General features: G+C 51.9%; 2 protein-coding genes across 7 annotated transcripts in view, besides 2 other annotated features; one reads left to right on the top strand and one right to left on the bottom strand.

The window, feature by feature from the left end:
* The window catches only part of STK3 (serine/threonine kinase 3), a 598,636-nt gene that overhangs the window by 502,580 nt on the left and 75,037 nt on the right, over positions 1 to 21,019 (top strand). For 3 of the 6 annotated variants that reach the window (XR_007060753.1, XR_007060752.1, XM_047422133.1), the window contains exon 11: positions 2,823 to 2,928. Coding sequence is in view for 4 of the 6 variants with exons in the window: in XM_047422133.1 (XP_047278089.1) it covers positions 2,823 to 2,928 (106 nt within the window). In the remaining 2 variants the exon portion in view is untranslated. Of the gene's footprint in view, positions 1 to 2,822; positions 2,929 to 5,712; positions 10,096 to 21,019 lie in introns of those variants that run through there. The other 3 variants (XM_017013756.2, XM_047422132.1, XM_011517251.3) reach the window with 2 other exon arrangements.
* KCNS2 (potassium voltage-gated channel modifier subfamily S member 2) lies at positions 7,178 to 13,073 on the bottom strand. The gene is made up of 2 exons (NM_020697.4): positions 12,702 to 13,073; positions 7,178 to 12,093 (listed from the first exon to the last, which is right to left on the bottom strand). Exon 2 carries the CDS (start codon positions 12,049 to 12,051, stop codon positions 10,618 to 10,620), a length of 1,434 nt encoding a protein of 477 aa, NP_065748.1. The 5' UTR covers positions 12,052 to 12,093; positions 12,702 to 13,073; the 3' UTR covers positions 7,178 to 10,617.
* Positions 12,974 to 13,173: a silencer, noted in NCBI's record as "silent region_19397". NCBI's record gives its function as "represses an Ori minimal core promoter by ATAC-STARR-seq in GM12878 lymphoblastoid cells {active_cell/tissue: GM12878}" and the evidence as "EXISTENCE:reporter gene assay evidence [ECO:0000049][PMID:35858748]".
* Positions 17,373 to 17,981: an enhancer, noted in NCBI's record as "H3K4me1 hESC enhancer chr8:99434278-99434886 (GRCh37/hg19 assembly coordinates)". NCBI's record gives its function as "activates a minimal SCP1, AML or CMV promoter by ChIP-STARR-seq in naive H9 embryonic stem cells {active_cell/tissue: H9 hESC(naive)}" and the evidence as "EXISTENCE:reporter gene assay evidence [ECO:0000049][PMID:30033119]".

Raw genomic sequence — 21,019 nt, 5'->3', positions numbered from 1 at the left:
CCCTCTGATATCCCTCCTCTCCCTGCAAGTCCTAGCTCAGGCGTCACCTCTTCCCTGAAGGCTAGAGAGGTGCCGTGTTGTGCCCAATATCTCACTGCTAGTGCATGGCAGATGACAAATGCACACTGCAAGCTCTTCTTCCCACACCAGCACATGCGCTGCCAGCTTCATTTGAGATCCAGCCAGTGAACCACAGGGCTGAATCGGTATGCAGACTTCATTGTGCTGAGCTGGCCACAGAGGATACATTTAAATGAAGGGCTCAGGTTTGGGTTTGGGGTTTAGATTTTGCTAGAGGATCAGCAATGAGACATTAATTAATGTTAAGCCTATCCCTCTAACTAGTATAAAGTAATACCTGCCGACCCAACTGTGTGCGCATGTGTTGACCACTGCTCTGATGCCTAATAGTGTGTGATTTCCACTGAACCCTGCCTCAGAGGGATTGGGGGCCTATATAGTGATTCCTTTTGACATTATTCACCTGGGAACTGGTTCGTGCATTAGTCATTACCTGAGGGGAATATCTGGCAAGCTTTCCTCAGTTCTGGATGTCATTCAGAAATGTGCCTCTCAGGAAAGCTGTCCCTTCCAATCTCATTGTTGGTGGCAGTGCCTGGCTAGCATGTCACAGGTCTCCAGCCTGGGAGGCTTTGCTAAGGATGTCGGTGCCCTGAAACTCCTGACTCTTGATGCAGCTATGTACCAGGTCAAATCGACTCCACAGGGACCCGCAATTTATCCAGAAGGGCAATGACAAGGCCCTTCTGACCTCGTTTCATTTATTATTTGTCAGCATTTATTCTGTGCCAGGCATTGTATTGGGCACTGGAGATAAAATATCCCTGTATCCATGGAGCTTCCAGACTAGCGGGGGTGACAGACATCACCCAATAAATAAAAATGACAAATTACAATAACAGCTAAGAAGGAAAAGCATTGGATGCAGTGAGACAACACGAGGGAGAGATATTGGCTGGCAGAAAGCAGAATTTAAATTGGAAGGAGTGCAGAGAAAGCCTCTCTGTGGAAGTGATGTCTACCAGGAGCCCTGGAGAGCAGCTGTTTCCATCCCCTTCTCCCCACGGGTGAGGCTGTCCCCTTCCATTCCACCCCCATGTTCACAGACACACACAGATGCACAGACACACCCACATGCATACACTCAGACACGTGGACACAGAGATTCACACACAGACACATATACACATGCACACACAGATACACACAAGACTCATAGACATCCATATGGCCACACAGAAACACACAGACATCCAGGCACACAGACATAATGGACACACACACACACACACACACAGAGACTCACACAGAGACCCACATACACACACATAGATACACACATGCACACCGGCACACACACACATATGCATCTCTCAGTGACATGTCAAACCTGCTCCTGAGGGGCTGTCTGAGGGGCCGTTTCACCTGAGGGCACCCACAGGAAAGTTGAGGGGAGGCACTGAGGGCTAGGGCAGCCAGCACAGGGCCTGGCAAATGGCTTTGCCCTCAGCGAAACAATGGCTCCTGGTTGACGTGGTTCCACCTCTTGGTTCTTCTCCTGGCATTGTTTGCTGAGGCCAGCACTTCAGTCTCTGAATATGCAACATCTGCACATTCCAGTTTCTAGGCATCAAGCTCTTCCCTGAAATATCAGCACAAGTGAGTCCTCAGACTCGGGAGCTCCTTGCAGGCTCTAAAGCTCTGACACACATCTACACATTCTCATGGGGGCTCAGGAACAATGGGAAGGTCGGTAGGATATCTCAGTTTGACTGAAAAGGCTTTAAACACACACACGCACACACAAACATACACACAGGAGGGCTTTGTAAAAAAATGGGGAAGCTACTGAATAATCAGTGATCTCATGTTTTAAAATTGGAAAATTACATAGCAATATATTTAAACTGTGCATAAAACCTCACCATCCTCCTTCTGAGCCTCCAATCGCTGGCTCCCCGGTTCCCAGTGTAGAGGAAAGGACAGGGTGGAAATGGTTTGCCTCTGGGCCTCTGTCAGCTCCCATCAGTCCCTCTTTCCAAAAGTAGCCCTCAGTCCCTAGCCCAGGACAGGCATGTAGAGAGCTGCCTGGCTTCCCTTCAGCAGGCAGTGGGGAAGCCCAGGGACACCCTTGGTTTTGTGGATTGTGGTTTCCCTCCTCTCCTCCCACATTCCCACAAAAAGAAATGCAGAATCCGATCCTGTGATGGTGGCCTTTGTAATGACTGACTCTGGACGCAGTGGGTTACAACGTAGCCGCTCCTGGTGGAGTCAACCCTGGGCAGACCTACAAAGTTTGCCAGAAAAATCAATACAAAGCTGACAGATCAAAAGTGAGTCATGCCAGTTCTCCTCTTAGGAAACAGTTCGATGGGTGTCTGACTGCTGGCACCTCAGTTCTTTTCATAGTAGGTCTGAAAATAGCTCAGAAATCTTTAAATGTCTGGAGACGTAGGCGACAAAAAGAGTTTTAAGTGGAAAAAAACCTCCCCAAGAACCCCAATTCTGTTCCTGCCACACATACCCCCAGCCTGCCCGCTCATGCCGTGTAGGCTGCATTCCTGGGTGCCCAGGGACTGCTGGGCAGATGGACTGGCTGCTGTGGGAGGCCAATAGTCTAGGGCACAGGCTCGGTCATCCCTGGATGGATGATGAGCCTGGTCATCCAACCTTCAGAGGCCCAGGCCCTTTGTGCTGCCAACTCTGTGTGTCCCTTGTTACAAAGCTCTAATGTCTCTTCTGCCTGTGCCTGGTTGCTGGTTGAAAGGCAACTCCTTCCTAAATCCTTTTCTGTCTTTTAGATAGAGCCTTACTGGGCCCGTGCAGATTTTCCACTTCCTCGGCTGTGGCCCTTGGCATCTGCGGTTATATTCAACAGGAGCACCAACGGTGGCCAAGAAGTCACTAGTAAGTCTAAGACACTGGAAAGAGAAAGATTAGCCTGTGTGTGAGGGGAGTGGAGGGGTTGCAGAAAAGGATGGGTTGTTGGGGGAGAGCCTAGGGATGAGTCTGTTGGGAATGAACATGAGTTAACACGGACAGAAGCGGGGTGAGAGCCTTAGGATGGATACAAGAGGACCGATGTGCAAGATACCGAGGAAAGTGTGGGTGACACCTGGTCCGGTGGGTGCAGGTGAGGAGACAGAGGCACTACTGCAAGGGGCACCCCTGAAGTAGTGTTTCCCCATGAGTGGTCTGAAAGCCACCTGAACCCAAGTCACCTGGGAGCCTTTAACTGCAGATTCCTGGTTTCACCTCAAGAGTCTGAATTTGTAGATGGGTGATGCCCAGAAATCTACATTGTGAAGAGCTCCCCAGAGGATTCTGCTGCACAGTAAAGTGTCTCTCAAGTCTACACTGCTTATGACTGTGCGCAATGCCCTTTGGATTTATTTCCCTTGCATCTAACATGGTACTTGGCAATTACTCAGCTGCCAGTAAATAATCAATATTGTGAGTAAAGGGATACATACATTGGGAGGATTCAAAGATGACCGAAATTTCAACCTGAAGGGCCAAGAACACTGTGGTTCCATTGATAGAAATGAGGAAGAAGTCAGAAGGAAGAGCAAGTTTGGAGTGAAGTGGGAAATTCCATTTTAGAGAGGGTGAATGCCAATGCACATGGGTGATGTGGGTGTGGGGCTCGGGAGTGAGGGCGTCGGGCAGGAGACACAGGGGTCCTTTGCAGGTGGGTTGAGGCTGCAGTTGGATAAAGGGTGTGGCAGGCTCCTATGGACATTGTGGCTGTGGACAGAGCTGTGGGAGAAATGGAAGAGGGAGGGGTCAGAGGAGAAGGAAGAACCATGGGGTGATGGGAGGGAAAAGCAGAGCCTGCAGCACACAGCGCCTCAAAATCACAAAGGAGGGAGTTCCCAGGACTTAGAGGTTGATCTGTGTGGCCAAAGAATTCGGGGGAGCTTGAGGACAGGCCACTGAATTTGGCTATTAGGAAAGCACTGGTGACCATCAGGACAGCAGTTCCAAAAGGGTGGTGGGAACAGAGGCCGGTCACAGAGAAAACACAAGGAAGTGACAGGAGAGGAAAGCCAAGGTCGCCAGTAGAGATCACCCCCTCAGGATTTCTCAGGGAAAGGGAGAGAAATAGGTTGGCAGATAAGGAGTCAGCTGAGAAAAGCAAGGCTATGGCCTCACTCATCCCCAAGGGCCCCTTCTCATGCCAGGCTCCCTCAGGGTGCTGCCTGGCCTCCAGGCCTCCCTCTGCCCACTGCACACCCGCTCTGTGTATCCCAGGCACTCGGGCAACATGGCTCTGAGTATTCCCTGTCTCTCCAGGTGGCACCACCATCCATCCAGCCACCAACCCAGCCAGAAACCCAGAAACCATCCTCCCCTCCCTCTCCCTCATCCCACATCCAGTCACTGATGGAGTCCTGCAGAGCCGCCTCCCCGTCCACCTGCACTGCCCCTCCTCCCCACCCCACTCCCTTTGTATCTGATCTATACTGTGACCGTGACCTCAAATCAGCCACCTGTCCCCTCTCACACTTCCAAGCTGATGCTAGAGTCATATTCTGACAACATTCATCTGGTCAGGATATCTGTACCCTGGTGACAAAAGAATGAAGCTCAGGCTCTTCAGATGGCTTACTTCTGCCCCCCATCTGCACCTTGCTTTTCTCTAGACTTACTGACTTCGATGTTCTGCACACATGCTGGTGCTTCAGCCTCCTTCTCTCTGCCTATGCAGGTCCCTGTTACTGGAGGAAAAGGTTTTTTCCTTTTCCCTTCCCTCCACCTGGCCAGCCCTGACTCCCAGCACCATGCCCTGTCTGGCTGGCTCCTGGAGTCCTCTTTCTGTTTGTAGCCCAGAAGTCCTGTCTTCACAAAGGAAATAGTTATTCCTCTTTCCTCGTGTCCTCATTGCCCCCTTCATCCAAAAATGCTTCCAGGGGGCTCCTGTGCTCTCTATTCTACCAGATTGTGGAGCCCTCTGGCAAGCAGGGATGGGGGCCAGTCCAGGTGGAGAGCAGTGGGAGCAGCCCCAGTGATCGTTGCCCCCAGGAGGACTTGCTGGGCTAGGAGCACACTAGGTTAACTGGAAATAAAATAGACTCAATGGAAGGCCTAGAATAATGTCACTAGACATTGCCTCTCTTTTTGCTCTCTGCTCTTTTCCCTTCTTTCTTCTCTGCCCTTTCCTTTATTCACTCTATCCTGTTCCCTCTTTTTTTTTCTCTCTTTCCCTCCGATTTCTGGTTTCTTTTTATCCACTGTTCCTTCTGTAGGGCCTTACACAACTCCAAGGCATGCCAGCCTTCTTCTCCCCTTCTCTTGTATCTCTTTCCCCTCCCTCTGTTTCCCCTCCACGGGTCTCTGAGGCCTTGTTTGCATCTCTGTTCTGAATGCATCAGCTGCCAGCTGCAGATGCAGTCATTTGCTTGGGAGAATTTACCCAGGAGGATGGTGCTATTGACAAGTGAGGTCCCAGAAGGAGGAAAATGTTGCAGAGTTTCAGACCTGCACCATTGACCGGATGTAACAGCCATGTAAGGGCCTTGGGTGGAAATGCTAGTTTAAATTTCTCCTAAAAGTAGGAGGAGATAATAACCGTGTACATGCAACATTTAAGTTCTTCCCTCAAGGGGAGGTGTTTGTTTTTCCTTTTAAGATGTAAGGCATCCTGGCCCTAAAATACCCCCTGAATATCCATTTATACCCTTGCTGCAGGGATGGTGGCTAAAGGGGAGGAGCTGAGCTACACCCCACTTGATGGAACGCAAAGACTGTGGTGAGGTTGGAGAGCAGTGCTGTGCGTCCTTCCTCAGCCTTAACGAGTGCGGGGCAAGGTTAACACAGATTTCTACACCCTTTTGCTGCATACACAGACGAGGCCACCTGCAGATGCCACCACTGCTCAGTGTGAGTTGAGTGTTGGATGGGAGAGCCATCTGCTCCATACACCTCAGGGCCCCTTCTGGGGCCCAATAACCTCATGGGAACAGGTAGGGGATCTCCTAGCCTTCACAAAGGCAACAAACCAAAATGAGCAAAGAGTTAGCCCTGAAGTCGAATGGGATCTTATTGATTTTCCTCTGCCTAATGATTGTTAATAGGAGGAATCTGGATTCCGTGTACATAGGTGGAAATAGTGGAAATCCCAAAGGAGACAAGCTGATGATTTTAAAACTTGATTCACTTGGATCAGAACCTAGCTCAAGCATTTTCCTGATTGCATTGTCCCTGCAACTGTCGTCTATTGTAGCTGACTGCTGAAGAGGAAATGAAACCAAATAGAAGGTTGTTTGTAAGCAATCTCTCTGCTCTTCTTAAAAATAAATTAGGGATATCAGGATCGGCTCATGGCTAGAATGAGGACATAGAGAGACATGCAGAAATTCTGTTTTTATATTGAGGTGAAGAAGTGGGTAGGGAGGGCTTTAAGGATTATCTAATCCAACCTTCTCATTTTGCAGCAGTGGAAGGTGAGGCTTGGAGAGGCCACAGGATGTGCCTACAATCACAGAGCTGGAGGCAAAACCCAGCAGAACCAAGTCAGCCCAGTGGCCTTCCTACCGATTCACCATGGCCTTTGGACCGGCCCATACTCAGTCTATTTTAAGTAATGCCAAGAAGTGTCTCTATGTATCCCCCAGCAGTATTCATGCCCAACCAGCCAGGACACTCAGGGTTCCCCAATTTACTATTAGGGAGCCTACTTCGGCAGCAGGGAGAGTGGTACTTTGGGACAGGTTGGGGCTGGCAGGGCAGGCTGACAGAGGTGCTGAGCAGGAAAGCATGCAGGAGGAAAATCCTGCAGGGGTGTCTGTTTCACAAGAGTTACAAGAATACAGGACCATTCCTTCTACCAAGGAGGCTAGTGGTTCGAGATCCTAGAAAACTAGGACTCCGCCTTTACCAAGAATAAACAACAGCTTCTCCTTCCCCAAATTGCAAAAACAAACAAACAAACAAACAAAAAAAACACCCAGGCTTTCTCAGGAAATCTGGTCCCCAACTTTGAATGCCCTCCTTGTTTGCTACTGCATATGTAATTGAAATGCCTCCAAGAGATGCAAATAATTTTTGTCTATTTAATCTGCACACTTTTTGAGGCTGGAGTCCCGAGTGTGTCAGTATTACTGCCCATTCCCGAATCGAGGCACAGAGATGAAAGTGCAGCAATCAGACATAATGGTTCAGTGCAGCCTGTGTCAATGCTTGCACAGTAGTGTGTTAATGAGTGTTAAAACTGACATCTCAAATATGGCATCCTCAATTTTAAAAATTACAGCTCTGTAAGAAGTCATGCTGTTAAAACACACAAGAAATACCAGTTACGCCTTCAAGTAGCTAACACACAGCCTGTACAGATCACCACTATCCCAAAGTGCATAACAACTTATTTTCTTTGAAATGCGGCAAGAATTAGCAGGTAGTTCAATTATTTGAGTGCTAAGATAAGTAGAAATAACAAATGCAAATGTTAAATACCAATTACTACCTTACGAGCTACAAATCAGCTTGGCATTACAACATGCCCTTCCTCACTCACAAACCCGAGAAATGTGGGGGTTTGGCAGAAAACACAAACCTATAACCAATATGCATTTGTGCAACAGACGTGTCACTTCCCAACCCAGCACTTCCAAAATGCACATCACAGATATCAAAGCCTGGCCCATATATTTGGCCCACTGGCATTGAAAACAATAACCTTCAAATGCTGGGAGTGACACTTCTCTCAAGCTCACAGCTGGAAACAAGTCATCTCCAGTTTCTACTCTGTCCCCCTAAAGGAGGTTTACAGGTCAGTCTGACAGCCTGGTTGCCAAAGATGTCACCTCATATTTTTACAGAAAATTAACCTGACTCTCCCTGGTTAGCTTCAGGGACTAAAAGAAACTGCTGGTTAGATGTTATCTAGCAAGGTCGATCAAAGACCCAGTGGAGAGCACCTGTAAACTTCAAACCTTAGTGAGACTTTAGGGGAGAGGAAGATTATTTCTCCCTGGGTCACCATTCAGTCTACATTCCTTGTGGGAATTAGCTCCAGGGTTTAAGCCAGCCGGGTTGTTCTTTCTCCCACTTATCTGAAACCACCACTTGAAAAACTCAATGCTATTGGGACATTCTCATGCTCAGAAGTGAGTAAAGGTCCAGTTGGGCAAGATAATATTTTATATAAGTATATATGTATGTACAAGAGATGTTAAAAAGATAGTCTCTAAAGCACGTTGGGATTCCTCCAACGAAAGGCACCAGATAAATGCAAGTCATTACCAAAAAGAAAAGTCAAGTTTTCCAGCTTTCACATCTGCAAAGGGTAACCACTAGGGTACCTCTTTTTTGGTGGTAAGCCTTCTTGTTTAGAAAAATCTTCATGAAAGTGACTGAGTTATTCTGCCTTGTTCCTTGCTTCCACTTTGCATAAGCTTCCTGGTCAGCGGCCATGGATACCAGGCTCAGTGACCCAATACCATCAGCCTTGGCAAACTGATCCGTCCTCATAAGTCTGTACCACCACCTGCCTTCAGTGCAGCTGGGGATGAGTCCGTAAATGTTATGCCTTCCAGGGCTGGAAGCACCAGCCAAATCTAAGTGTTCCATGTGCAAATTCTGAAAAATAACTCTGCTCCTCTGATTCAGTGCCCAGTTGCCTCTAAGTCATCTCACTTTTCCTGATGCTTCAGAGACACGGATGTAGACACTAGGAGACAGCCACCTCCCAGCCTCCCACAAGCCTCCAGTCCAATGGAAAGATTTGAACTGGGGGCTCCAGGACACAAGTGGCTAGTGAATTCATTCAATAAATCACCCACACTGTAGTAGCCATGACAACTACAAGAACACAAAGCCTTCTGATAAGATCCTTGCCACACCTCCAATGAGGTAAGTATCATCTTCAATCAACTGAAACACAAAAGGACCTCTTAAGAAGAGGCCCAACCTTTGGATGAAAACCCTGGATAGCTCCATGCTCAGACCCCTGGGTTCTATTGCCTTTTCAAAGATGGAACAATAATGAAAGCCACCTGGAAAACCATCAGATTACCTTAAAGATGATGGAGAAGAATTATCTTATAGAGGAACCCAGGTTCCCCATCACAATGTTATGTGCTGGTTAACCGAACAAGAGGAGCAGGAGCATTTTGGAGGAGGAAACAGTCGTCTCCCTTCAATACAAGTTTGGAAGCTTGAAGGTCTTTTGAATAGCATTAAGCTTTTCAAGTTTACAATTTTTTATGACATTTTATGAACTAGCAGTTTTTTATTTTACAACTCTTTCCTTTCTCCTGGCCTCTACCCAGTCACCCCCCATGAAAGGCAGTGGGAATGCAAGTAAGAACTGCAGTGTTTCCATCCTGGGTAAGCCACACCACCATCGTGCACGTCTATATTTTGAGTACATGCTTCCATACCACCAGGTTTCCATGTCATGGCAGGAACTCCAGGGCAATCACAGCATCATATACAACATACTATATCCTAGAAGCAAAATTATCTGACTAAATTCTGCTTGGAAATAAAAGGGCTCTCATTTGATGAGCTTTCAGAGTAGGCAACAAAAGTATTTAAGCTACTGCCCTTGCTAGCAACCCAACAACGTTCACCTCAGGGAGACGATACAACAGTAAACTTCTTTTTAGTTGAGGAAGACAACACGACCTTACTCCTAAACATCTTAAAAAATAAATATTTCAAAAACATGCTAATATCTTAGACACAGCAAAGTTTGGTCAAATGGCCTAGATCAGAAACCTCATCCGGAAATACATTTCTCTACAGTCACCCTAGGAAACAAGGAGGCTTGACTGTGAACCAAGGGGCTCAGCCTGCACTAACTTGGCTTTAAGCACCCTAGGGTTTGGACTATTTAGCTGAAGCCCCTCTCCCTAACACATCTGTTCTTGGGAAAAAAATTCGATCTTCACTGCATGTTTAACTAAGTAACATTCTCTAAAGAGTGACATTTATGAGATGAACATCAGTGTACATCGTTCTAAAGATGATTGGTGCACCCATGCAAGCCACGGAACTACAGATCATTTATAAAAACAACTTAGAGACTTGCATTGGTCAAGTCTGCTTAACTTTGCATTCTCTTTGTTTTGGTACTAAAACTAAGTGAAAGCAATGGATAAAGAGCTGAGATTTTGTTTTCACATGACTGTGAGCAAAATCTCATCATATCCTTGCTGACCTCATAGATGCATTTCTACTGGACGACTTGTGGGGGCTTTTTGTACAGAACTCACACGACAACCTCAGAAACAGGAGCACGACAACTCATAGACAGTACTGGGCCACAAGCACTAGAATAGCGTACACGATGGACAGAAAAATTAGCATTCTGGGTGTACTCATCTGGCAAAAAGGTGAACATTTTATGCCCACGATGCAAAGACCAGTGAGTGTCATTTCATGGAAAGGTGCAAAGGCATGGTGTCAGACACACCACCCTCTAAAAACGATTCTAAAAACTGTAAAAGAAACCTGGGTGCATATCCCATGCATCTCTCCCCTCAGGGGCTGGGCATACTCCTTACACCATAACCATAAGGTGCCTGGGCTGTGCCAGAGGCACAAGAGGCAGCTCAGCAATGTGGGGTGGAGGGTGACAAGTCCTCCCGGCTAACGTAGGGAATCATTTAAACTGAGTTCACTTGGTGAGCTCCTGCTCATGTTCGTCAGGCTTGCCATAAGGGATTTAACTTTATGGGCATAATAGTCCCTTAAATTGACCGAAGGGACCTCCTTCATTCCATCTCCAAAGTCACAGCTGCGCATGGCACTCTCAAGTTGCTTTTGGCGCCGGTAAAAGTGGGAGAACTTATTGAAGATCAAGGTGATGGGCAGGACCACCACGAGGATGCCTGCCAAGATGCAGGCAGAGGCAGTCAGCTTTCCTGCCGTGGTCCCTGGGACCACATCCCCGTACCCCACTGTGGTCATACTGACGGTAGCCCACCACCAGCAGGCAGGGATGGTGGCCAGGCCCTCGTTCTCCTCCTTTTCAATGGTGTAGGCCACCACGGAGAAGATGGAAATCCCCACGGAGAGGTAGAGCAAGAGCAGCCCTACTTCTTTGTAGCTGTATTTCAAAGTGGCCCCCAGGGAGCGGAGGCCAGTGGAGTGCCTGGCCAGCTTTAAGATGCGGAAGATCCGCATCAGCCTCAGGACCTGGGCCACCCTGCCCAAGTTGGCTAAAGTAGGTGTGCTCTCCACCACCAGGTTCACCACCAGAGTGATGTAAAAGGGGACGATGGACATGAGGTCAATAAGGTTTAGGGCATTCTTGAAGAACTTGAGGAAGTCAGGGGCCACAGCAAACCTGGCCACCAGCTCAAATGTGAACCAGGCAATGCCAAAGTGCTCCACGATTTCGAACCTAGGGTCCTCGCCAGGGTTGCCCTGGCTGTCAGGGATTTGGAAATCGGGCAGGCTATTGAGGCACATGGTGATGATGGACCCCATCACCACCAGGATGGACAGGATGCTGAAGACCCTGCTCAGCACTGAGTAGCCGGGGTTGTCCAGCGCCAGCCACAGCTGCCTGCGGAAGTTGCCGAGGGGCTGCCCATCGAACTTGGAGGCGTCGTTGTAGAAGGCAAGGATCTCATCGAAGGAAGACGTGGTGCTCTCCTGGTCACTCTGCTCGTCCCACTTCTCCTGCTCGGGCTCTACTTTGCGGCCATGGTAGCTGTAGCTGCAGCAGGAGTCAATGAAGAACTCGTTGATGCCCCAGTACTCGATCTCCTGGCTGAAGGAGAAGACACATAGCTCAGCCATGACGTGAAGCTTGCCGGTGTGATAGAAATGCAGCACGTAGGGGAAGAGCTCAGGGTTGCGGTCGAAGTAGAACTCCCGCTGGACGTCGTCGTAGTCATCGCAGAGCTCCAGAATGGCCTCGCGCGAGTGGCAGAGCAGCAAGCGGCCCAGGCGCGTCTCGGGGAAGCGCAGCAGCGTGTGCGAGCGCAGCCTCCTCTTGAAGCCGCCCACATTGATGCGGATCTCCCCGTCCTCGACGTTAGCCTCCGACACGTCCCACAGGCTCTGGCCGGTCATGCTGGAGGCGCCGGCCGCCCGCGCCGCGCGGGGGCGCTACACCTGGAAGCGGAGGGAACAGCGTCGGCGAGAGCGCCGTGCGCCCTGGCGGGGCCCCCTCTCCCTACCCATTACTGGCGGGCCCAGGCCTCCTGGTGGGTCTTGGGTGCTGAAGGGCTGGGCTGGGGCAAGAGTTTGAGGGGTCTGATCCCCTCCCAGGAAAGGCTGGGGGTGGGTATGTTTCTATTAGCACAGCTCCACCCCAGGGGTCTCGGTGGGCGCTTTGCGCGTGCGGGGTCGCGTCCCCGCGGCTCTGAGCGCCCAGGGGGCTGCATGCTGACCTTGTCCATGGGCAGGCCCGGGAGACGCCCCCGCCCGCTCGCCGCAGACAGGCGGGACCGGAGCTGAGATACGCACGGGCAGGGCCGGGCCGACACGGGGGGCGCGTAGCTTTGGTGGGGTGGGGGGGATGCGCTGGAGTCTGGAAACCCGGGCCGCGGGAATGAGGGGGGCGGCCCGGCCTCCCCTGGGTCCAGATCCCACGCCTGCAGCCCCCGCGTCCCCGGCCCAGGTCTCCCTGCCGGCCTGGCGCTATGCCCCGGGGCCGCGTGCGCTGCGCCTCACCCAGCGGGGCTGCCCGGGCTCGCCCTGCGCGTTCTGGAAGCGCTTACCTGGGAGCACGGGTGCCCGCGGCCGAGGCCGGCGGGAAACTTCCCCAACCCGCGGGCGAGCATCGCGGCGGTGGCCGCTGCCTGCTGGCGGTGCGTGCGCGGGTGCGAGTGTGTGCGCCCGGCGGGCCGGCGGGCGGGGGCCGCCGAGCGTCTCCTCCCGTCTCGGGCCGGGTACGCCGCCGCCGCCCGCAGCTGCCGAAGGCTCACAGGTGGCTGCGTGGTCCCGCCGCTCCCGGAGCCCCCTCTCCGGATCCGCGCGCCCCTCACCCACCCAGAGAGGCAGGAACCCGCGCCGCATTCGCCCCGTGAGCCGGGGCGGGAGCAGAGCGGGTGTGACGGGGCGCCCGCCCTGCGCGGGGCGCGGCGCGGTGGTGCTGAACGGACAGCTCCGCGTGCCTCGGCCGCCGCCCGGGCTCGGAAGGCGCAGCCGCCGCCGCCGCTGCTTCTCTGCGCTTCCCCGGCGCGTCACCGCGACCACCTTGCGCCCCCGGCTCGGCGCGGGGCCGACACCTCTCCCTTCCCCCCGACCATCCCCCGGTGACAGCTGTTATTATCACCACCCCCAGGGCGCAGGCAGGGGGCTGCCTACGGTGACCTTTCCCCGCTGGGTCTGGCGGGAGCTGGGCTGGGAAATAAAGGGCGGCTTGCGCGTGTCCGGGGACAGGGCGGGACCGGAGGAACTCCAGGTGTCCCCTTTTAGGGACCTGAAGAAAAGTTTCCCGAAGCCCGGGGGTGGGGTTGTTGGGGAACAGGAGCTGGAGGGGAAAAGAGGGGGCCGGGAAGTCCAAGGTGGAGATCGGCTTAGTACGCGGGGGGCGGGAGCGCAGGCCGCACGGCGGGGGCGGGAGTCGCTGAGTTCTGGTCGGGAGCTCTGTGTGGGCACAGTTTGTGTCCAGGCCGGTGTGGTGTGCTGGCTGTGCGGGACTGCAGGGCGCTGTGTGTGTATGTAGGCTGAGGACAGCAGGACTTTTCAGTGTCTGTGTGTACCGCGTTCATTAAAATGGGTCCTCTGTCGGATGGGAAGATGCGTCGGCACAGGGGGGACCTGGGACGTGTGTCAGCGCAGTGTGTGGCATGGGGAACCGTGTGCTGTGTGTACATGTGCTGTGTACAGTGTAGTACTCTTGGGACTGTGACGGGCTCATGTGTGTGGAATATGTTGAGAGCGGTGTGCTTGCCGACAGTGGGGACTGGGGGGTTCAAGCTGGAGTGGGGACTGGTAGATGTGCTCAGGATCTGTGTCCCTATTCCTAAGAAGACTCGTGGCCCAGATCTGAGCTCTTGGTCTGCTGGGATTGTCCTTAAGGCCCTGCCTACTGGGCTGAGCTGAGAAATGGACCCAGTCCCTGGGGAGCCCCCTCCCTTTGGTGTTTCTCTGTGGTGTCCACTTGCAAAGACTGGAGCACCGTGGTTGTGTGAGCTTAGCAGGGAGCTAGCGTCTACATGTCTCGGTCAGAAGTCCTGGGAATGCCCTTGCAGGGTGGCTCTGGATTCATGGTGCAACCACCACTGCCACAGTGGGAAGTACATTCTTTCTTTACGCAATCCTGGCAATGCCGTCCCAGCTGAAAAGGTGCTCTGTGTAGCTCTGGAGGGCTTGGGGCCTCCTTGGAGGACCTGTAGAGGACCGTTAATCTGGCTTCGAATGGGGGCTCCTGCATCCAAGTCTGACCCATCCCTGTGACCCACTGGCTTCTGGACATGTGTGTGGGTGTGAATGCAGGTGTGTTTCCTGCTGAGAGGGCTTCACACCCATGCCCCTGCAGGCCTCTGCAAATGTGGTGGATTCCACAGAGGCAGCCACATGGGAGAGGGATAGTAGGGTAGTGAGGGCCACACACACTTCCTCTTTCTTGTGTATGACCTTTCCCCAGGCTTTGGGAAACTTTTCTTCAGGTCCCTAAAAGAGGAATCCAGTCCTCCATTCTGCCCTACCCTCAAACACACACAAGCCACCCTTTATTTCCCAGTGTGTTTGTGTGTGTGTGTGTGTGTGTGTGTCTGAGAGGGAGAGACGGAGAAAAATCTGATCTTGGTTATCCTTGTCTTCATCTCCCTTTCTTTCAGGGTCTGTGTGTGGACAGCAGCCTCTATCTAGGTCTGCTGGGTCCATCATTGGAGGTCTGTGGCTCCCACACACCTGGCTGCAGTCTGGGAGCCCCTGGATCTCCTTCATCCCCATGGGGGTGCTGTGGAGAGAGTGCCACCCTTGCTGAGGGGGTGTGTGCTTCAGTGCATTTATAATCCCTGTGTCAGTGCCTCTTTCACCCTTTTCCAATCCCCCCTTCCACACCTTCGGCGGGGTGATGGTGGCTGCAAGGTGTCTCTGCTGCAGGGGCCTGAGCAGCAGCACCTACGGGACAGCCTTCATGGGCCCTGTGGCTCTCCCTAGCTCTCACCCCTATCCTTTCACTACGAGCTGCCTGCCTTCCGGCCCCTCCAGAGCTCACAGCCCCCTTCTGTGGCTTCTGCCACATGTCGCCATTCCCAGCCGCTCCCATTCCCTTGGCCTTGGCTCCTGGCTATTCTGGTTTAGCTCAGTGCATAAATCACCTTTTTCTGCTGCATTTGGAGGGTCCTTCCTTCTACACATACTTGAGTTTGATTCCTCCAGGGCTTTCCTCCCTCCCCTGCTTCATGTATCTGCCCGCCTCCTTCTGTTCCTGTCTGTTGTTCTTTCTCCTTCATCCTCTGTGGTCGTGGGAGATTTCACCCATGGAGAGAGAGCCCTCTGCCTTCTGTTTTTCTTTGTTTCTTCCACACCCACGGCCACCCCACCTGCAGACCAGGCTCTGCCTGGGCCCCTGGGGCTCTCACCCTCCCATCTCTCTAACAGAGGCCACTCCTTGCCCCTCTCAGCTCTGCCCCTGCTCTTGCCAACAACCCGACCTCCTACCTTCCTCCCTCTCTCCCTCCCCCTTGTCCCCTTCCCCAGCTGAGAGAGCTGTGCCAACATGCTTCCAGCTACACTAGGGCCCTGTGTCTAAGCCTGCCCTTTGATAGCTCTTTCTGTGAGTTTGGGGTCAGGGACAAGCCCCCCTGCTCACCTTTCCTTGAATGGCAGAGTGAACTTGGAGCCTGCAGGGAGAAGCCCAATGTGGGGCACATCAGTTATTTATTGGAAAGGCTGAGACAGAAGCTCTGTGGGTCTGACAGATGCCTTTGCAGAGGTTAAGTGTATGTGACAGGCAGAGCCACTTGTTTATTTCCCAGTCATCGTGCTGAAAAGAAATGGAGCCATCTCCCTCCTTCCATACCGGGGAAGCTGGCTTTGTTTATGGTTTATTTAGAGGTCTGAGCCCTGATCTTAAAATACAGCCACTGCTCCAGGCGCAGGTTGAGGCCTGCCTCTGGGCTGGCCTGGCTGGCCTGCTGGGAAGATGGTGAGGGGGTACAGGTGTGCAGGGAGAGGCACCCTGGGAAGGGGGATGAAGAGACCTTAGTCAGTGGCCCAGATCCTTGCACCTGGCCGACTGTTATCTCTGCCTTCACTGCCAATGATGATCTCTCAGCTGAGCCCACACATCTCAGACTCAGCTTTTCTCCCCCTGACAGGCGAGGGGGCTGCACTGGCAGCTTGGCTGAGGGAGCTGCCTGACCTACATTCCCCACTGTGAGGAACAGTTGGGTCCTTGACCTTCCCCCTGGTGTTTCAGCACAGAGGTGCTTTCCGCCCTGAAGGACTGGACAGTTCACCTGTGTCCATCCTGCTCCCCACCAGCCATCCTCCCCACAGCAGCCAGAATGTCTTTTAAAAACACAAACGAGGTCATGTCATTCCCTCCTGAAAGCCTTCCAGGGACTTCCCATTGCACTGAGAATGAAAACCATCTCCTAACCACAGCTCCAAGACCCCCTATGATACACTCTGCCCACCTCCCAAACTTCGGCTCACTGCTCTCTTCTCCACCAGCTGTGCTCCAGCCGCATGCCCGCTTTGCTCCCTGTGCAGGGCCTCTGCACTACCACACTCCCTGCTTGGCATGGCGGTTCACGGGGCAGGCCCCTTCTTGCCACTCAGGTGATTTAAATATCACCTCCTCAGAGAGGCCTGACTCCCCAGTCTAAACTGGAGCCTTTGGTCAGTTTCTCTTGTGCCTTCACGACACGTATATTAAATAGTTATTGAATACAGGATTGGATGACGAATGAATGAGGCCCCAGCTGCTATGTTAAGTTATTCTGTGCCTGCCAGAGTCTTGGCCCCAACTCCTTCCTCCTGATGCATCAAGAAGGGAACTGGATGGGGAGGGAGTCACTGTGCTTGGAGCTGTGGTCTGGAGCCCCCAGGCTCTGGGGTGCTCTCCTGAGCAACTGATCAGCTTAGTAGATCTCAGTCCTAGCTGCATATTCGAATCACCTGGGGAGATTTTAATTTAGCCAATCCTCCTAGATGCCTTGGGCCTCACACCAGGCCAATTAGATCAGAGTCTCTGGTGAGGGCAAATCGGCATTTCTTAAGCTCCTAAATGATTCCAGGGTGGAGCCAAGGTTGAGCCCCTGAGCAGCCTGACTTTGGGGGTGCGGATCGAGAGCTGTGTGTCCATGAGTCTGCACCCGGCGGTCAGTATCAGGGATGGGGTCTGCGTCTCACTCGGTTTGGCAGACACCCACCCACTGCCCCAGGTCTTAGGGCAGGGCCTGCCTGCGGTGGGAGCACTGTGAGGGCTGAGTGCCTTTGTCGTCGCCTCCCTCCATGCCAGACTCCCAGACGGTTTCCTGTGCCTGCTCCTCCCAGAATTCTTTACCTTGGAAACAATTTGAGATTAGGATCTGTCACAGTTTCTCCTCCTCCTTGGAAGAGGATCCCCTCTTGAGCCGTTTTGATGTTGATGGTGGAAATGGGGACGGAGGACAAGGGAGCTAGCCAGCCTGTCTGGGTGGCTTTACAGTAGCAAGGGCGCAGGGGCGTTGCTGGGGATGGAGGCAGGCCTGGAGATGAGGGAGGCAGGAGAGCGAGACCCTGGAATGAGGGAAGCCAGGTCTAGGCCCCAGTGAAGTTGGAGTGGGGGGAGGGGAGAGATTGAGAGGAAAATTGGAGAACAAAGGATTTTAGAAGTTTTGCTGCACGTTACAAATGCAATTCCTCATGAAGTGTTTTCTCAGGAGGCAACAGTAAATGTTTATATGGCTTTTGCATTGTTCCTGGATGCTGGACTGAATTTGTTTTATAGGTGAGTCCTTGCCTGGGCCATTTGGCTTTATCTGCAGAGGCCACTCCCCCATTTGACTACAGCCCTTCCATCCCTGTGTGCTCCCTGGAGGCCAGCGATGAGGCAGAGAAGGGTGTGGTTGTGTCTGAAGAGCTTCTCTAAGAGTCCTTTAATGAAAAGGGGCCCAGATCCTCCAGTCTGGCCTGCACAGGGCCCACACCTGTGGGGTTGGAGCCCTCAAGTTCCCTCCTCTGATGCCTCCTGCTCCAAGTTCCTTATCCTTGGAGGGCTCTTCACCAGCCCCACTAGGCACTGCTCCCTTGGGGGCCCTCCACTGAATTCCTCAGGACATCCTGAGACAAGACTGGAATAATTAATTTTTTATTTATTTATTTATTTTTGAGACAGAGTCTTCCTCTGTCACCCAGGCTGTAGTGCAGTGGTGCGATCTTGGCTCACTGCAACCTCCACCTCCCGGGTTCAAGCAATTCTCCCACCTCAGCCTCCTGAGTAGCTGGGACTATAGGCACCTGACACCACACCTGGCTAATTTTTGTATTTTTAGTAGAGACAAGGTTTCACCATGTTAGCCAGGCTGGTCTCAAACTCCTGACCTTAAAAGTGATCCACCTACCTCAGCCTCCCAAAGTGCTGGGATTATAAGCATGAGCCACTGCACCTGGCCCAAGGTTGGAATAATTAAGAGAAGTTTGATTAAATTTAAACTTAGAGTCACCACAAAGGAAATGAACAAGAGGACAACATGGCTGCAAGGGTAGGGGCAACCACCTCCCTCCAGGGCCCCTCTCAGCCTCAGGGGTCTGGCCATCTTTCCCCTCTACCCTAGGTCCTCCTGAAGACCACTGTGCAGAAGTTGAGGCCCAGGGACCCAGAAGCTCCCTCTCCCTTGGCCTCAGGCATATCCTATGCAGTCAGCTGTCTCTCCTCTCCTGAACTTTCTGTGGGAGGCTGACAGCTGAACTGAAGCCCCCATCCCCTCTCACTGGCCCTACCTTCTGGGACCAGTGGAATGCCCAGATCAGAACAATTCACCCTGAGGCCCTCCGGTGCGTTCAGGGAGTGGAGGAGCCTCAACTACCACCCACCACAACAGGTGACTACGGAAGATGAAGATGGCAGAGAAAATGAAGAGCCAGCCCCGCACCATGAAGCTAGCTGTCCCAGTCCTGCCCTTAGCCATGAATCCTTGGGTGAAACATTTACTCTCTCTATGCCTCATTTTCCTCATCTTGAAACCTATGAGAGTCCCACACTCATAAGATTACTGTGAGAATTAAAAGATGCATTAAAGAGCTATATACCAAGGCCTGACACATAGCAAGTGCTGAAAATGTTAGCCATGACGAGTGCCAATTGCTGAGTGCTTGTGATGCGTCGGCCCTGTGCCAAGCTCTCTGCTTGCCTCTTGCCCTCACTTGGGTACTATTATTACCTCATTTAATGATGCCCATTAAGTGGGGTGTTTAGACTCAAACATGTCTCTGTGGTATCCAAATCTGCCCTCTTAACTGTCTCAAGTAGGTGCAGGACCAATTAGGGTAGGCTAATTGCTGTAACAAACAACCCCCAAATCCCAGGGACTTAACATAATACAGCATTCCCCCCTTATCTGCAGGGGATACATTCCAAGTCCCCCAGTGGGTGCCTGAAACTACAGATAGTACCAATCCTAGAAATTTTTTTCTATACACACATACCTATGATAAAGTTTAATTCATAAATTAGACACAGTAAGAGATGAACAATAACTAATAATAGAATAGAACAATTATAACAATATGTCAATGTCACCACTCTTGTGCTTTAGGGCCATTATTACAAAAAGGGTGACTTGGACATCACTGTGGCCCTGAGGCAGTTGATCTGATAACCAGTGTGGCTGCTAAGTGACTAAGGGGTGGGGAGCACCTGTAGCATGGATTCGCCAGACAAAGGGAGGATTGCTGTCCTGGATGGGACAGCAAGAGATTTCACCATGCTACTCAGAAAAGCACACAATTTAACATTTATTAATTATTTCCACAATTTTTCATCAAATACTTTCAGACTTCAGGTAAATGAGACCAAAGAAAGTAGAACCTCGGACAAGGGGGAGGGCAACTAGAAAACAATGATTTCTTGCTTGTGTTATGGTCCAGTTGGGTGTTTGGAAAGCGTCTTCCCCACATGGTGATTCCAAGATCAGTATCCTTCCATCTAGATCTCTGCCAGCTCCCAGGGCCCCAGAATCCTTTCCCGGCATCCTCTGTATTAAGTTGAGCGATAAGGGAAGAGACAGAGCATGGACAATGACACAAAGATGCTTTCGAGGCCAGGTCTGAAAGTGGCAGACTTCACCTCTGCACAGCCCCTGGCCAGAACTCAATCATATAAAACCACAGGGTGTCGAGATTATAGGAAGAAGCAGATCATAGAAACTGGGGTCCCTGGCATTCTCTGCTGCTGATGGATGAGCAGAAGCTGGTAGACATCCTGCATCCATTTCTCCCAAGGTGGAGACAGGGGGCACAGGAAAGTCCTCATTGCTATCCTTGGCTGGAAGGACCTCACTCCAGGTCCAGGATGCAGCCCAGGATGCCCAGGCTCTCTAGGAGTCCTGGTTGGCACTGAGAAATGTTCTCTTAGTCTTCAATAGGACTTTGTTTTCCTTTTCTCAGAATAAAGTCTTCCACTGTGAACTTATCCGCACTGCATTTTAGAAGGGTGCCATTCCACGTTCCCACTGAAGCTGGAGGGGTTTGGGCAGAAGAATGTAGTGAGGGATTTTAGGTAGATCACAGACTCTTTTTTTTTTTGAGATGGAGTCTCGCTCTGTTGCCCACACTAGAGTGCAGTGGGGTGCTCTCAGCTCATTCCAACCTCTACCTCCTGGGTTCAAGCGATTATCCTGCCTCAGCTTCCCAAGTAGGTGGGATTATATGTGCCCACCACCACGCCCAGCTAATTTTTTTATTTTTCGTAGAGACGGGGTTTCACCATGTTGGCCAGGCTGGTCTCGAACTCCTGGCCTCAAGTGATCCTCCTGCTTCGGCCCCCCAAAGTGCTGGGATTTCAGGCGTGAGCCACCGTACCTAGCCAGATCACAGACTCCTGGGGCCAGAAGCCAGACTTGGAAGCTACAGAGCCAGGACATACATGCCGTTG

The sequence above is a fragment of the Homo sapiens genome, chromosome 8 (genome assembly GCF_000001405.40).
Source record: "Homo sapiens chromosome 8, GRCh38.p14 Primary Assembly".
Classification (NCBI taxonomy): domain Eukaryota; kingdom Metazoa; phylum Chordata; class Mammalia; order Primates; family Hominidae; genus Homo; species Homo sapiens.
The sequence above is the reverse complement of the archived record's forward strand: the minus strand, read 5'-3'. Positions and strand labels throughout refer to the sequence as shown.

What these genes read in the sequence shown, in the direction of transcription:
- KCNS2 (NM_020697.4), bottom strand. Translation starts at nt 12,051, where the DNA reads ATGACCGGCCAGAGCCTGTGGGACGTGTCGGAGGCTAACGTCGAGGAC.